Source organism: Homo sapiens, chromosome 1 (genome assembly GCF_000001405.40).
Source record: "Homo sapiens chromosome 1, GRCh38.p14 Primary Assembly".
NCBI classification, from domain to species: Eukaryota; Metazoa; Chordata; class Mammalia; order Primates; family Hominidae; genus Homo; species Homo sapiens.
In genome coordinates, this window is record NC_000001.11 from 93273875 (window position 1) to 93290634 (window position 16760).

The 16760-nt window shown below is 40.7% G+C and overlaps 1 protein-coding gene and 1 pseudogene across 13 annotated transcripts in view, besides 1 other annotated feature; one reads left to right on the forward strand and one right to left on the reverse strand.

Annotated features, from left to right (window-relative positions):
• The window catches only part of CCDC18 (coiled-coil domain containing 18), a 98818-nt gene extending 93962 nt beyond the window's left edge, over positions 1–4856 (forward strand). For all 13 annotated transcript variants that reach the window (XM_011541361.4, NM_206886.4, XM_017001161.3 and 10 more), the window contains one exon: positions 4589–4856. In XM_011541361.4, the coding sequence (XP_011539663.3) occupies positions 4589–4603 (15 nt within the window). In that variant the 3' untranslated portion in view covers positions 4604–4856. The remainder of the gene's footprint in view (positions 1–4588) is intronic.
• Positions 2874–3841: an enhancer, noted in NCBI's record as "OCT4-NANOG-H3K27ac hESC enhancer chr1:93742305-93743272 (GRCh37/hg19 assembly coordinates)". NCBI's record gives its function as "activates a minimal SCP1, AML or CMV promoter by ChIP-STARR-seq in naive and primed H9 embryonic stem cells {active_cell/tissue: H9 hESC(naive and primed)}" and the evidence as "EXISTENCE:reporter gene assay evidence [ECO:0000049][PMID:30033119]".
• Positions 4894–5312, reverse strand: LOC100130531 (ribosomal protein L39 pseudogene; annotated as a pseudogene).

The following is a 16760-nucleotide window of genomic DNA, read 5'->3' on the forward strand; positions in this document are numbered from 1 at the left end:
TAACTCATTTAATCCTTATAACAACCCCCTGATAGGTACTATTATCTGAATAGTACCAAATAATAGTACCTAATAGTTCTACTGTAGTGGGTACTATTATTATCCTTATGATATGAGGAAACTGAGTCCCTGCTCTTAACCACTATATATAATCTTTACATAATTGTATTGGTATTTTCTTCAGTATGTCTAATTACATAGTTTGGTCTTGCAGTTGCTTAGCCAATTAAGGATTAAGAGTAGGAGTTAGCCAGGCGCGGTGGCTCACGCCTGTAATCCCAGCACTTTGGGAGGCTGAGGCAGGTGGATCACGAGGTCAGGAGTTCAAGACCAGCCTGGCCAAGAGGGCAAAACCCCATCTCTACTAAAAACACAAAAATTAGCTGGGCATGGTGGTGCGCACCTGTAATCCCAGCTGCTCAGGAGGCTGAGGTGGAGAATTGCTTGAACCCGGGAGGCAGAGGTTGCAGTGAGCCGAGACTGCGCCACAGCACTCCAGCCTGGGTGACAGAGCGAGACTCCATCTCTAAATAAATAAATAAATAGTAGGAGTTAAAAGTTACTACATAACAGATAGAATAATTTCTTACTCTGTAGGTTTTTGCAATATATATTTGAATTTTTCAAGTCATTTCACCTATTCAATTATCATTGAAGATCAATGCCAAATTAAAATATTCAAAATACTGGCCGGGCAAGGTGCCTCACACCTTTAATCCCAACACTTTGGGAGGCCAAGCAGGAGGATTACTTGAGACTAGGATTTCAAGGACAGCCTGGGCAACATAGCAAGACCCGATCTCTACAGAAAAATAAAATGAAAAACTAGCTGGGCATGGTGGCGCACATCTGTAGTCCTAGCTACTTGGAAGCTGAGGTGGGAGGATTGCTTGAGCCCAGTTCGAGGCTGCAGTGAGCTATTATCATGCAATGCAGCAAGAACCCATCTCTAAACAAAACAAACAAACGTAGCCTATTGTTAAACTTAAAGATTGGATTCTTAAAATCCTATCAAAGTTATATTCTGTATAAACATAGTTTTCTTGATTGTCAATGATACTCTACTGAGTTTTAAATGCATTGACCACTGTCAATACTCATAACTTTAAGCTCACATGGAACTCCTACAGCGCATGAGCCTCAGTTGCATTACCTGTGGTAGTGACCACCTCATAGTCATTTATATGTATGTTGCATTAATAAATATATACTACTCTGTAAAATTTAATGAAAGAGATGTATTTTTATTTTTTTGAGGCAGAGTCTTGTGCTGTCACCCAGGCTGGAGTGTAGTGGCACGAGAGCTCACTGCAACCTCCGCTTCCCAGGTTCAAGCAATTCTCATACCTCAGCCCCCTAAGTAGCTGGGATTACAGGCGTGTGTCACCATGCCTGGCTAATTTTTGCATTTTTTAGTAGAGATGGGGTTTCACCATGTTGGCCAAGCTGGTCTCAAACTCCTGGCCCCAAGTGATCTACCCACCTTGGCCTCCCAAAGTGCTGAGATGACAGGCGTGAGCCACCGCACCTGGCCTGAAAGAGACATTTTAAATTGGGATGTAGAGCCATGATCTGTAGCCTAGTTCAGGTCCTCGGCTTATTTCACCTGCCACTTAAGTATGACATTGCATTGGTCTCCTATTTAAAAGCAGGATTTTAAAACTCTTTTAAACCAAATAAATTATTATTTAAATAAAGAAATCCAGTATGTCAAATAGATTCAAAGGTAGTTTATCTGATTGGGGGTAGGATATGTCTGACCTTTACCCAGTTACTTAAATCTACTCATGGCTGCTCATGCAAAAGCTCCAGAGCAGCCCTGGATTAATCATTAAGGAAAATAAGCAGGAGCATAGGGGACTAAGGGGAATGCCACAGAGTTGTTTGCCCTAGCTATCATCCTCTTAATTCGTTCACTGCCACACTTGACTTTAGTAGAATTTTTAGTAACTGTCTTTATCTGCCAGTTCAAATTTAATCTGCACTATTAAAAAATCATTTTCTTTGGTATGATGAGTGACAAAAGTTTAAAAGTTTGATTTGAAAGTGTCATCAGGTATTACATTTGTTTCTTTACACATGGTGTGAGTTTCAAAACCAGCTACCTGGGTCTGGATAGCATTTGACTCATCAGCTGATTCGTCTAAAGGACTCTTAAGCAATTTTTTAAAGCAGTGGTAGGGCCAGGAGGCGCCATTGTTGGGCTGTGCAGAGGGTATCAGCTGGCCTAAATCCAGCTCTGCTTCAGAAAAGTGCAGTTTTAAAGTCCACTGGTACAATGAAAAGAATGTGGAAACCGATACATGAGAAGTGTTTAATAAGTGTTAGCTCCCTTGTGTTGCAGCCCAAATACTATTTTCCTAATGGTTAAGTACGTTGGCACTTCCATTGAGAGTAAAGCCTCTTAACACTGAAGTATTCTGCTTTCAGACTAACAAAAGCTTCAGAACTCAAAAAATTACACCTGTACACAATTTAGAACACAATATCAGCAAGTTCAGAGACTTCATATTAACTCCTATTCTAATCCTGTTTTGGATTAGAGCAGTGGAAGTGTTGTGAATACTGATTAATTAGCTAATTCACCATTTATTAGGAATTTATAAAAAGTTATTACTTCTATTTCTCTTATTTGTAAGTAGTTTTCAAGATATGGTACATATATCATGCAGTAAGATGAAAAATAAGAAATTAGGAAATTAGCTATAGGGAAAACAAAGATGAAAAAAAAATGTTAAACCAGGAGTACAGGTAATACCTAGAGACATGATAATATTTTCAAATTCACACCCTCAGTAAAGATGAAGGTATGACAAGAAAATTTGGCCCATATTTTTTTAAATCCCCTGGGCCTTTTTCCTCTATTTTTCTACTTTATGTTAAACTGCTTTTATATGCAAATAATTGTGTAGGGGTGGGTTGCCCCTACACACCTGTGGGTGTTTCTCGTAAGGTGGGACAAGAGATTTGGAAAAGAAAAAGACACAGAGACAAAGTATAGAGAAAGAAATAAGGGGACCCGGGGAACCAGGGTTCAGCATATGGAGGATCCCGCCAGCCTCTGAGTTCCCTTAGTATTTATTGATCATCTGTGGGTGTTTCTCAAAGAGGGGGATGTGTCAGGGTCACAAGACAATTGTGGGGAGAGGGTCAGCAGACAAACACGTGAACAAAGGTCTTTGCATCATAGACAATGTAAAGGATTAAGTGCTGTGCTTTTAGATATGCATACACATAAACATCTCAATGCTTTACAAAGCAGTATTGCTGCCCGCAGGTCCCACCTCCAGCCCTAAGGCGGTTTTTCCCTATCTCAGTAGATGGAGCATACAATCGGGTTTTATACCGAGACATTCCATTGCCCAGGGACAGGCAGGAGACAGATGCCTTCCTCTTGTCTCAACTGCAAGAGGCATTCCTTCCTCTTTTACTAATCCTCCTCAGCACAGACCCTTTACGGGTGTCGGGCTGGGGGACGGTCAGGTCTTTCCCTTCCCACGAGGCCATATTTCAGACTATCACATGGGGAGAAACCTTGGACAATACCTGGCTTTCCTAGGCAGAGGTCCCTGCGGCCTTCCGCAGTTTTTGTGTCCCTGGGTACTTGAGATTAGGGAGTGGTGATGACTCTTAAGGAGCATGCTGCCCTCAAGCATCTGTTTAACAAAGCACATCTTGCACCTCCCTCAATCCATTTAACTCTGAGTTGACACAGCACACGTTTCAGAGAGCACGGGGTTGGGGGTAAGGTTATAGATTAACAGAATCTCAAGGCAGAAGAATTTTTCTTAGTACATAACAAAATGGAGTCTCCTATGTCTACTTCTTTCTACACAGACACAGTAACAATCTGATCTCTCTTGCTTTTCCCCACATAATTGTCTTTTGTCTCTGTCTGCTCTTTTTTTCTTCTTTTAATCTTCCTTTTTCATTGATTTTTTCATGTAGCTATTCATCATCCTTGTTTATTGTGCTCTCAAACTATAACATGACACTGATGCCAAAATGTTATATTTATGTTCCTTTTTTCGAGTTTTAAAATTAGTTTAACCCCATATTCACACCCACCTCATCAAGCCAGAATTATTTGCTTTTATTTTTTATTTTATTTATTTTATTTTATTTTTTTGAGATGGAGTTACCCTCTTGTCTCCCAGGCTGGAGTGCAGTGGTGCGATCTCGGCTCCCTGCAACCTCCCCCTCCAAGGTTCAAGTGATTCTCCTGCCTTAGCCTCCTGACTAGCTGGGATTACAGACGCTCGCCACCACACCCAGCTAATTTTTGTATGTTTTAGTAGAGACAGGGTTTCACCATGTTGGCCAGGCTGGTCTCAAACTCCTGACCTCAGGTGATCCATGCACCTCGGCCTCCCAAAATGCTGGGATTACAGGCAGTGAGCCACTGCACCCGGCCTGCATTTTATATTCATGTGGTTCATTATTGACTTTTTATGATTCATATTTTTCAGTAGACTAAATATTTCTCACTCTCGCTTTAAATTATACTCCTGTTATTATGGTAGACTTTTAATGCTAAATCAGTTTAGGAATATTTCAAATATTAATCTATTATTTTGCATTATTCTAGGGAGAAAATGTGTAATTCAAAGAAGATACTGATGTGTTGAAAAAATGGAATTTTTGGTACTGTGCTGTTTACTTATTATATGTAGCTCATACTTCATAGAAGCTGTTATTTTGCTTTTGAATAAATTTTATATTTCAATATTTTAAAAGAAAGCCCTTCTAAAACTTAATTATATTTTTAAAGAAAATTTATTATTTTATTTATTGTTTTTTGGCTTAAACTTGCTGCTTTCTTTTGCTTTTTATATAAAAATCATTGTTAAAATGCATAAGTACATTGAGGAATGCAAATTTTTTTTTTTTTTTAATGAAAGGCCTCACATATTTATTACTGAACCCAGCCAACCAATGCGTTCATAACAGATGCAGAGAGACAAAATATATTCCCAACAAAACATGTCAAACTCTCCGGATAGTGGTGACATTTTCAGCCTGATATGGTAACATGATTGTGACCTTCAGACAGCATAAATATGTGTGCCATCTCATGTGCAATTCCTTATAGACCCAGCTTGGTTCTTCTCCATTGTCTCCTTTTGGTTTTATTTTATTAATAAAATCCTGATTTTATTACCAGTTTTCATCTGAATCCACTGGGGAATGGGACAATTTTGCTTTTGTTTCTTGGCCAGCAATCACTTAATCCTGAAAGTCTTGTGAGAAGACATGGCAAGAAGCAAAGTCAAGCACACACCATGATGGCAGAGAAAGGAAAAGAGGCGAGGAATGTCAGTTCTTAATCAGACTATTATTTGCTAATTTTTCTAGTATTACTTAATTTTTAAAATTAGTATAAATTTATAAGTCATTCTGCCACAGGTTTATAATTGTACTAATAATGGCTGACTTTCATTGAGTCAGTTTACTGTTTATCAGTGACTATTCTAGGCAGTTGTATTAGTCTGTTCTCATGCTGCCAATAAAGACATACCCCAGACTGGCTGGGCGCGGTGGCTTACGCCTGTAATCCTTGCACTTTGGGAGGCCGAGGCAGGCGGATCATGAGGTTAGGAGATCGAGACCATCCTGGCTAACATGGTGAAACCCTGTCTCTACTAAAAATACAAAAAAATTAGCCGGGTGTGGTGGCAGGCACGTGTAGTCCCAGCTACTTGGGAGGCTGAGGCAGGAGAATGGCATGAACCCGGGAGGCGGAGCTTGCAGTGAGCCAAGATCGTGCCACTGCACTCTAGTCTGGGCAACAGAGCGAGACTCAAAAAAAAAAAAAAAAAAGACATACCTCAGACCTCAGACTGGGTAATTTATAGAGAAAAGAGGTTTTTTGGTTTTGAGATGGAGTTTGCTTTTGTCACCCAGATTGGAGTACAGTGGCACCATCTTGGCTCACTGCAACCTCCGCCTCCTGGGTTCAAGCGATTCTCCTGCCTCAGCTTCCTGACTAGCTGGGATTACAAGTGCCCACCGCCATGCCTGGCTAATATTTTGTATTTTTTAGTAGAGATGGGGTTTCACGATGTTGGCCTGGCTGGTCTTGAACTCCTGACCTCAGGTGATCCACCCACCTCGGCCTCCCAAAGTGTCAGGATTACAGGCTTGAGCCACTGTGCCTGGCCAGAAAAGAGGTTTAATAGACTCACAGTTCCACATGGCTGGGAGGCCTCACAATCAATCATAGCAGAAGGCAAAGGAGGAGCAAAGTCAAGTTTTGCACAGCAGCAGGTAAGAGAGAGCATATGTGGGGGAACACCCCTTTATAAAACCTCAGATCTCATGAGACTTATTGACTATCACAAGAACAGCATGGGAAAGACCCACCCTCATGATTCATATTTTTTGAGGATTTAAAGGAAAAGATGGCCATAATGAGTGAATAGATGGGGAGGAATCTTAGACAAATACAAATCAATGAGTGGTACAAGGTAGAAACTTAGGGAGTCCCAATATTTTACAGGCAGGCAGAAAAGAAAATTGAGAATGGATGTTTAGAGATAAAATAACCAAATGGAAATTCTAGAACCAAAAAGTATAGTAGCTGAACATTTAAAACTCCCAATATTGGCTTAACAGCAGATTGGAGGTGACAGAAAAGTCAGTTGACTTGAAAGCAGATAAATAGTAAATTTCCACTCTGAAGAACAAAGAGAAATATGATTGAATAAATATAAAAAGAGCATCTAAGACCTGTAAGATAGTATTAAGAGAAGAAAGGGAAAATGGGGCAGGAAAAAGTTCTTATAGTTATGGCTGAAAATATCACAAATGTGGTGAAAAGATGACAACCTATAGATTTTCTAAGCTCAGCAAGCCCTAAGCAGGATAAAAAAAAAAATCCTGCTTAGTAATATAATAGTGAAAATTCTGTAAACCAAACACAGACATACCTTAAAAACAGAGACAGAAAAATCCTCATGTAGGGGAACAGTGATCCAAAAGAAGGCAGATTTGCCATGAGAAAGAGTGAGACACACTTTTAAAAGGACAACTGTATTAGTCTGTTCCCACACTGCTATAAAGAACTATGTGAGACTGGGTAATTTATAAAGAAAAGATGTTTAATTGACTCACAGTTCCACAGGCTATACAGGAGGCATGGCTCAGGAAGCCTTGGGAAACAAAATCGTGGTGGAAGGTGAATGGGAAGCCAGCATGTCTTACATGGCAGGAGCAGAAGGAAGAGAGAGCAAAGGGGGAAGTGCTACACACTTAAACAACCAGATCTTGTGAGAACTCTATCATGAGGCAGCACTAGGGGGATGGTACTAAACCATTAAAAACCACTTCCATGATCCAATTACCTCCCACCAAGCCCCACCTCCAATACTCAGGTTCACAATTCAACATGAGATTTGGGTGGAGACACAAAGCCAAACAATATCATTCCAACCATGTCCCCTCCCACATCTCATGTCCTTCTCACACAAAAGTTCAATCATCCATTCTCAACAGCCCCCTAAGTCTTAACTCATTTCAACATTAACTCAAAAATCCATAGTCCAAAGTCTCATCTGAGACAAGGCAAGTTCCTTCCACCTATGATCTTGTAAAATAAAAAACAAGTTAGTTACTTCAAAGATACAATGGGGGTACAGACATTGGGTAAATGCTCCCATTCCAAAAGGGAAAAATTGGCCAAAAACAAAGGGGCTACAGGCCCCATGATCCAATCACCTTCCACCAGGCTCCACCTTCAACACTTGGGATCACAATTCAATATGAGATTTGGGTGGGACACAGAAGCAAACCATATCAACAATATAATGAAAGTTAAAAGTATGGACAAAGATACCAGGGAAACAAGCATAAAAAGTGCTTCAGGGCTATATTAATATCTGACAAAGTAGATGTCAAAAATGAGTTTTGCCAGAGATTAAAAAAGGATGTTTCGTAATGGTAAAAGGATCCATTTAATAGGAAGACATACTCCTAAATGTGTATACACCAAATAACAGACTTCAGATACACGAACTGAAATCTAACTGAACTAAAGGGACAAATATATCCACATAGTGGGATAGTTTAACCTCCAGTTTTCAGTAATTAAAAGAATAAGAGACCAAAAAAAAAAATCAGCAAGGATATAGAAGTTATGAATAATATCAAACTGACTTGACTTAACTGACATTTAAAGATACTGTAGAGCCACACGTGGTGGCTCATGCCGGTAATTCCAGCAATTTGGGAGGCCAAGGTGGGAGGACTGCTTTAGCCCAGAAGTTTGAGACCAACCTGGGCAACATGGCAAAACCCTGTCTCTACCAAAACAAACAAAAAAATCAACCAGGCATGGTGGTGTGTGCTATAGTCCTAGCTATTCAGGAGGCTGAGGTGGGAGGATTGCTTGATGCTTGAGCCCAGGAGGCAGAGGTTGCAGTGAGCAGAGATCACACCACTGCACTCCAGGCATGGTGGTGTGTGCTATAGTCCTAGCTATTCAGGAGGCTGAGGTGGGAGGATTGCTTGATGCTTGAGCCCAGGAGGCAGAGGTTGCAGTGAGCAGAGATCACACCACTGCACTCCAGCCTGGGCAACAGAGCGAGACCATATATATAATTATTATATATAATACATATTTTATAGATTAATTTTTACATATATATAAATTATATAAAATATAAATTAATTATATATATATATTATATATATAAAATTATTATATATATAAAATACATATTGTAGGCCGGGAATGATGGCTCACACCTGTAATCCCAACACTTTGGGAGGCTGAGGCAGGAGGATTGCTTGAGCCCAGCAGTTCAAGACTGGCAAGAAGAACATAGTGAGACCCCATCACTACAAAAAAATTTAGAAACTAGCTGCACATGGTGATGTGTGGCTGTGGTCCCAGCTACTCAGGAGGCTGAGGTAGGAGAATCTCTTGAGCCTGAGAGTTCAAGGCTGCAGTGAACCATGATCACTCTACTGCACTTCAAGCTGGGCAACAGAACAAGACCCCATCTCAACAACAACAACAAAAAGCAGATTGCTATTAAATATGAGGGTCATCAGTGCATACAGACTGCCTAAATTAAAAAGCCTGACAAAAGCTACAAATCAACAGTTTTAAAATATTGGACATGAAGCAACAAAAGACAGTGATTTCTGAGAGATGGTTGAGCCCTTTATTTCCCCCATCTTATTACCTGGAGTAAGTTTCTAGGCTGTGACCTTGAGTTGAAGAGACAGAGCTAGGAATCTGGGGAGGCTAAGAAGGCTAGAATTCACAGGGCACAGTAATAAAGAGGAGAGAGCTACACAGAGAACTCTGGAAATTAAAGGATCTCCCTCAAATTTTCAGATGAGACATCATCAGTGACTATATGTGAGGAAACTACACAAGGCAAGGGAAAGAACCACTTGAATAATTGGAACAATCCTCAGAGCTCAGAAAGCTCTGAGAATAGATTTGTTTCCATGACTAGGAGTGAGAAAATCTCATCATTTTCAGGGCATCAGGTAGAATTCTCAAGAATGGTGCCTCAATAATGGGGAAATAAACTCTAGACTAAATGCCTCTTGGGTACTAGTTTAGAGTCATTTAAAGCAAAACCTGAAAGGATAAAACTGTTTCCAAATAACCATGCCCAAGAACAAAAGCTCAAGAATATTTATAGGAATAAACTATTTATCTAATAATGTAAAATTCAGAATGTGTTTAATCAAAAGTTACCAGGTCCAGGAATGGTGGTACACAGCTGTAGTCCCAGCTATTCAGAAAGCTGAGGCAGGAGGATCACTTGAGCCCAGGAGTTCAAAGCTGTAGTGTGCTATGATCACACCTATGAATAGGCACTGCACTCCAGCCTGGGCAACATAGCAAGACCCCATCTCTTAAAAAATTATCAGGAATGGAAAGAAGCAGGAAAATATGACCCAATAATGATAAAAAGCAATGTAAACCAACCAGAAAAGACATAGATGATCAAATTAGTAGTCAAGGCCACTAAATTATTACAACTCTATTCCGTATGTTCAAGAAGCTAGAAGAAACACTGAACATGTTGAGTAGAGACATGGAAAACATAAAAAAAGAAATACAAACAACTTTGGGAGATTAAAACAACAATATTTGTGATGAAAAATAAATTGGATGAGATGAACAGGAGATTATATATTGTAGAGGAAAGATTAATGAACATGAATAGAAAACTAGAAACTATCAAAATGAAACAAATAAAAAATTGTAGAAAAAAAAGTGAGCATAGCATCAACCAGCTGCAGGAAATCTTCAAGTGACATAATATACTTCTAATTGAAGTCCCTACAAAACAAAAGGTAGAGGGGAGGGGACAAGGGGAAACAAAAATTCTTAAAAAATGTTTTCAAACCTCTTGAATACTATATTAGAAACTAGTGTGTAGTGTGTTGTGGGGTTTATAATCTATGTAAAGTAAATCTATTCCAATAACAGCATATAGGGACTGTGAGGAGGGAAATGGAAGTATACTGTTTTTGTTTTTTGTTTTGTTTTGAGATGGAGTCTCGCTCTGTCGCCAGGCTGGAGTAAAGTGGCGCAGTCTCGGCTCACTGCAATCTCCACCTCCTGGGTTCAAGTGATTCTCCTCCCTCAGCCTCCTGAGTAGCTAGGACTATGCACGCCACCATGCCCAGCTAATTTTGTTATTTTTAGTAGAGATGGGGTTTCACCATGTTGGCCAGGATGGTCTCAATCTCCTGACCTCGTGATCCACCCGCCTCGGCCCCACAAAGTGCTGGGATTACAGGCGTGAGCCACCACGCCTGCCCAGAAGCATACTATTTTAAGGCTATTTTAAGGCTCTTATATCTTATCTCAGGTATAAGAGTGAAATATCACCCGAAAGTAGACTGTGATAAGTTAATGCTCTATATTATAAGCCCTAAAGTAACTATTAAAATAACACAACAAAAAGTTATAGTGAATAAACCCAAAAAGAAAATAAAATGGAATCACAAAAAATAATTTTTCCAAAAGAAGACAGAAAAAGAGGGAAAAGGGAGCAAGGAATAACTGGGACAAATAGAAAATAAATAGCAAATGGTAGATTAAAGACAACTAAATCAATCATCATATTAAATGTAAATGGCATAACCATCTTCATTAAAAGAGATCATCGGGTTGTATCAAAAAATAAGACTCAGCTATCTGACACCTACAAGAAACAATACTACCTACAAGAAGTACAAGACAGAAATAGATGAAAAGGATTGAAAAATATTATATGCTAACACTGATTAAAATAAAGGTGGGGCTGAGCATAGTGGCTCACACCTGTAGTCCCAACATCTTAGGAGGTCGAGGCAGGCAGATCACTTGAGATCAAGAGTTCGAGACCAGCCTGGCCAACATGGTGAAACCCTGTCTCTACTAAAAATACAAAAACTTAGCTGGGCGTGGTGGTGTATGCCTGTAATCCCAGCTACTTGGGAGGCTGAGGCAGAAGAATCAGCTGAATCCATGAAGTGGAGGTTGCAGTGAGCTAAGATCACACCACTGCACTCCAGCCTGGGTGACAGAGCAAGATTCCACCTCAAAAACAAAAACAAAAAAAAAACAAACCCAAAAAATAAAATAAGTAAATAAATAAATAAAGGTGGAGTGACTATATTAACACCAAAGGTCTTTCCAGGACAAGTATCACCAGAGATAAAGAGGGTAATTTCATAAAGGCAAAGAGGTCAAGTGATCCAGAAGACACCAATCCTAAGTGTATAAGTAACTAATAACAGATCTTCAAAATACGTGATATAAAAGCTAATAGAACTGCAAGGAAAAATAGACAAATCCAGAATTAAAGTTAGATATTTCAATACCCCTTTCTCAGTAACTTATAGAAAAAGTATCCTGAAAAATAATAAGATATAGAAGACAGGAACAACAACATAAAACAATTGAACCTGACATTTCTAGAACACCTCACCCAACAACAGCAGAAGATATATTTTTAAACTATGCAGGAAACATTTACCAGGATAGACCATGTTCTAGGACATAAAACAAGTCTGAGTAAATTTAAAAGGATCTAAGACATACCAAGTATGTTCTCTGAACACAATGTTGAGTTAAATTATAAACATAGAGCAGAAGGCGGTATCTGGGAAAACCTTAATTTTTGGAAATTAAGTAACACACATCTAGGCAGGTGCAGTGGCTCATGCCTGTAATCTCAGCACTTTCAGAGGCTAAGGCAGGAGGATCACTTGAGGCCAGGAGTTTGAGACCAGCCTGTGCAACACAGTGTGACCCCCATCTCTACAAAAGTAATAAAGTTTACCCAGGCACGGTGGTGTGTGCCTGTCACATCAGCGGCTTAGGAGGCTGAGGTGGGAGGATCACTTGAATCTGGAGTTCGAGGCTGCAGTGAGTTTTGATTGTGCCACTGCATTCCAGTCAGGATGAAAAAGCAATACCTTTTCTCTAAAAGACGTTAAAGTTAACAAGAACTTCAGTACAAAAATCCACAAAAAAGCTTCACCAGAGCATCCATCTCCACCAGGACAATGTTCCTGCTCGTTCCTGTCATCAAACAAGAGCAATTTTGTGAGTTTCTATGGGAAAGCATTATGCATCCACCTTACAGTCCTGATTTGGCTCCTTCTGACTTCTTTGTGTTTCCTAATCTTTAAAAAAAATCTATAAAGAGCACCCATTTCTCTTCAGTTAATAATGTAGAAAAGACTGTATTGACATGATTAAATTCTCAGGACCCTCAGTTCTTTAAGGAGAAACTAAATGGCAGGGATCGTTGTGTACAAAAATGTCTTGAATTTAATGGAACTTATGTTGAGAATTAAAAGTTTTATATTTTATATTTTATAATTCCATTTTTCATAATAATTGGAGACCTCCTCATATCAGAGAAGAGGAAAGGTCTCAATGACTTCAGCTTCTACCTTAGGAAAGTAGAAAATAAAGAATAAACTGCTTCCCAAAGGAAGCACAAGAAAGGAAATGTTAAAGATCATAGTGAATTTTAATGAAATAGAAAACAAAAACAATAAAGAATAAGGCACATCAAGATAGCCATATAAAAGCCTCCACCAATCATCTTTCCTTCAGGAACATCAAGTATAACGACTGTCTACAAAAAAAAAAAAAAGAAAAAATCTTCGTACAAACCAAAAAGCAGGTGAGCATTCCCAATACCTGGTTTTTAACTTCATACTGCTGAAAGAGGCACTGAAGAGGGTGGGAAAGATAGTCTTGTATTGCTGATGCCACTCCTCTCCCATCTCCAGGCAGAGGCTGCATGGCACAGGGAGAATCTGTGCTCTTGGGGGAGAGAAGGAGAATGCAGTGATTCTGGGGCTTTGCATTGGAACTCAGTGATGCCAGCACCAGACAGAATTCAGCCAATGCCCACAAAGGGAGTATTTAGCCCTAACCAGATGGGAATCACCCATCCCAGCAGTTGGAAGCTGAGTGATATGGTTTGGCTGTGTCCCCAACCAAATTTCATTTTGAATTGTAGTTCCCATAATCCCCATGTGTCATGGGAGGGACCCGGTGGGAGGTAATTGAATCACGACGGTTACCCCATGCTGCTGTCCTCGTGATAGTGAGTTCTTACCAGATCTGATGGTTTTACAAGGGGCTTTTCCATCTTTGCTTGACATTTCTCCTTCCTGCCATGTGAAGAAGGATGTGTTTCCTTCCCCTTCCACCATGATTGTTAAGTTTCCTGAGGCCTTCCCAGCCATGCTGAACTGTGAGTCAATTAAACTTCTTTCCTTTATAAATTACCCAATCTTGGGCATGTCTTTATTAGCAGCATGAGAACAGACTAATACAGTAAATTGGTACCAGTAGAATGGGGCACAGCTATATGGATACCTGAAAATGTGGAAGTGACTTTGGAACTGGGTAACAGGCAGAGGTTGAAACAGTTTGGAGGGCTCAGAAGAAGACGGGAAAATGCAAGGAAGTTTGGAACTTCCTAGAGACTTGGAGGGCTCAGAAGACAGGATGATGTGGAAAAGTTTGTAACTTCATAGAGATTTGTTGAATAGTTTTGACCAAAATGCTAATAATGATGTGGACAATGAAGTCCAGGCTGAGGTGGCCTCAGATGGAGATAAGGAACTTATTTGGAACTGGAGCAAAGGTCACTCTTGCTATGCTTCAGCAAAGAGACTGATGGCATTTTGCCCCTGCCCTAGAGATCCGTGGAACTTTAAACTTGAGGGAGATGATTTAGGGTATCTGGTGGAAGAAATTTCTAAGTGGTAAAGCATTCAAGAGGAAGCAGAGCATAAAAGTTTGGAAAATTTGCAGCCTGACCTTGAGGTAGAAAAGAAAAACCCATTTTCTGGGGAAAGAGTCAAGCCTGCTGCAGAAATTTGCATAAGTAACAAGGAGCTGAATGTTAATCAACAATACAATGGGGAAAATGTCTCCAGGGCATGTCAGAGACCTTCCCATCACAGGTCCAGAGGCCTAGGAAGAAAAAATGGTTTTGTGGGCTAAGCCCAGGGTCCCCCTGCTCTGTGCAGCCTAGAGGCTTGGTGCCCTGCCTCCCAGCTGCTCCAGCCATGGCTAAAAGAGGTTAATGTACAGCTCAGGCCATGGCTTCAGAGGGTGCAAGCCCCAAGCCTTGGCAACTCCCATGTGATGTTGAGCCTGCAGGTACACAGAAGTCAAGAATTGAGGTTTGGGAACCTCTGCCTAGATTTCAGAAGATGTCTAGAAATGCCTGGATGTCCAGGCAGAAGTTTGCTGCAGGGGGCCAGGCCCTCATGGAGAACCTCTGCTGCGGTAATGTGGAAGGGAAATGTGGGGTCAGAACCCCCATACAGAGTCCCTATTGGGGAACTGCTTAATGAAGCTGTTAGAGTGTTTTGGCAAACGGCCAACAATGTGCCTAATGGAGAGGATTCCTATTCTACTAGGTGGTGCTGTTGACTCTGAAATACCATGTGCTCTCCAGACCAAATATAAAGAGAGAGATGCTTGCTGCAGGGGGTTGGGGGGCCCTCTCTTCCTAGAAAATCTCAAAAACGGCAATCCCTTAAGCTTGAGCTGTATTCCCAATTACTACAGCATTTCCTGATCTTACCTAATATGATTACTTCCCTATACTGTAAAAATTCCCACAGCATTGCATACAGAGAATGGATATAAGAAATGAAGGAAAATTGCAATAGAGAAAGCTTGGAGATCCTTTGCCATCACACACTGAGCTGTCAGAGGCTGGAGTTAGTTCAGAAGCCTTCAGGTAACACTAGGATGTTGCCCTGGCCAGAAACCCTCAGTTGCCTCTGGACTTCTTCTAGCCCCATGTGATGGCTAGGCTCTCCATGAAATGAAACCAGTTCAAAACAAAGTCAACATTCCTAGTACCCTGAGGATACTGGGTGATTTGCTAAGTTCCCCCTGGCAAGCCTGTCCCCTGAGTCTTGTAAGACTGGCAGCCAGGCTAACCATTTTTAAATGGCTGACAGGGTCCCAGTGTTTAGTTTGATTTTAAAATGGAGGGCAGAAGGCCTTGAAATGAAAGAAAAGAGTTGGGGTCTCATCCTATACTCACCCTTCTGATGAATCTACCTCAGATCCCAAGCAGGCCCCCACAATGAAGCAGCATCATTCATCTGGGATAATACCTGAGGTTAGTTGTCCCATGACCACAGAAAACTAGGATGCAGACATACCAGAGTGAGGTTAAGAGCAGAAGCTTAATAGGTGAAAGAAAGAGAAGCGCTCTCTGTGCAGAAGGGTCCCAGAGAAAAATGTATTGCCAGTTTTCTGGTGAAGTGCAGGAATTTTTATAGATGAGCTTGAGGAGGTGGTGTCTGATTTACAGAGGGCAGAAAAGATTGGTCAGACCAGGTGTGCCATTTGCATAGCATGTGAAGAAGCTGGCTGTCCCATCCTAATCTTTTATTATGCAGAAGGGTTCTCTACCTGGCCGGTGCCATGTTGCCTGCTCCTTACTGTACATGTGGTGACAATGAAAAGGGAAGATGGAGCCCCCATGTTGAACATACCTGGCTTCCAGGTAGCCCTTTTCTATTGGCACAGCTGTTGGCACTCACCCATGCAAAGCTTTCAGCTTGCTTATCTATGTCTGCAGCTTGATTTTTCAGGCTGCTCTTTGTTAGAAAAGAAATGATTTGGGAGCTGCTTTTTGTTAAAAGAGAAGCCTTGTCGAAGACTCCTTTTATGCACACTATCTGCCTAGATAATTTCTTTCTAGCTCCCGTATCAACAGTAGAGAAAATCACCTTCACTAAAAGGGAGACAAGAAGGAAGAGAAGGAGAGAAGACCACAAAACAATAAGAAAACAAATAACAAAATGGCAGGAACAATTCCCTACTTATCAATAACTGCATGTAAATGGACCAAACTCTCCAATCAAAAAAGACCCAACGTTCTGTTGCCTACAAGAAACACACTTCACCTATAAAGACACACATAGACTGAAATAAAGGGTTGGAAAAAGATATTCCACGCAAATTAAAGCCAAAAAAGAGTAGGAGTGGCTATACTTCTATCAGAAAAAATAATTTCAAGGCCAGGTGCAGTGGCTCACACCTGTAATCCCAGCACTTTGGGAGGCCGAGGTGGGCAGATCACTTAAGATCAGAGTTTGCAACCAGCCAGGCCAACATGGTGAAACCCCATCTCTACTAAAAATACAACAATTATCAGGGCCTGGTGGCACATGCCTGTAATCCCAGCTGCTCAGGTGGCTGAGGCAGGAGAATTGCTTGAACCTGGGAGGCAGAGGCTGCAGTA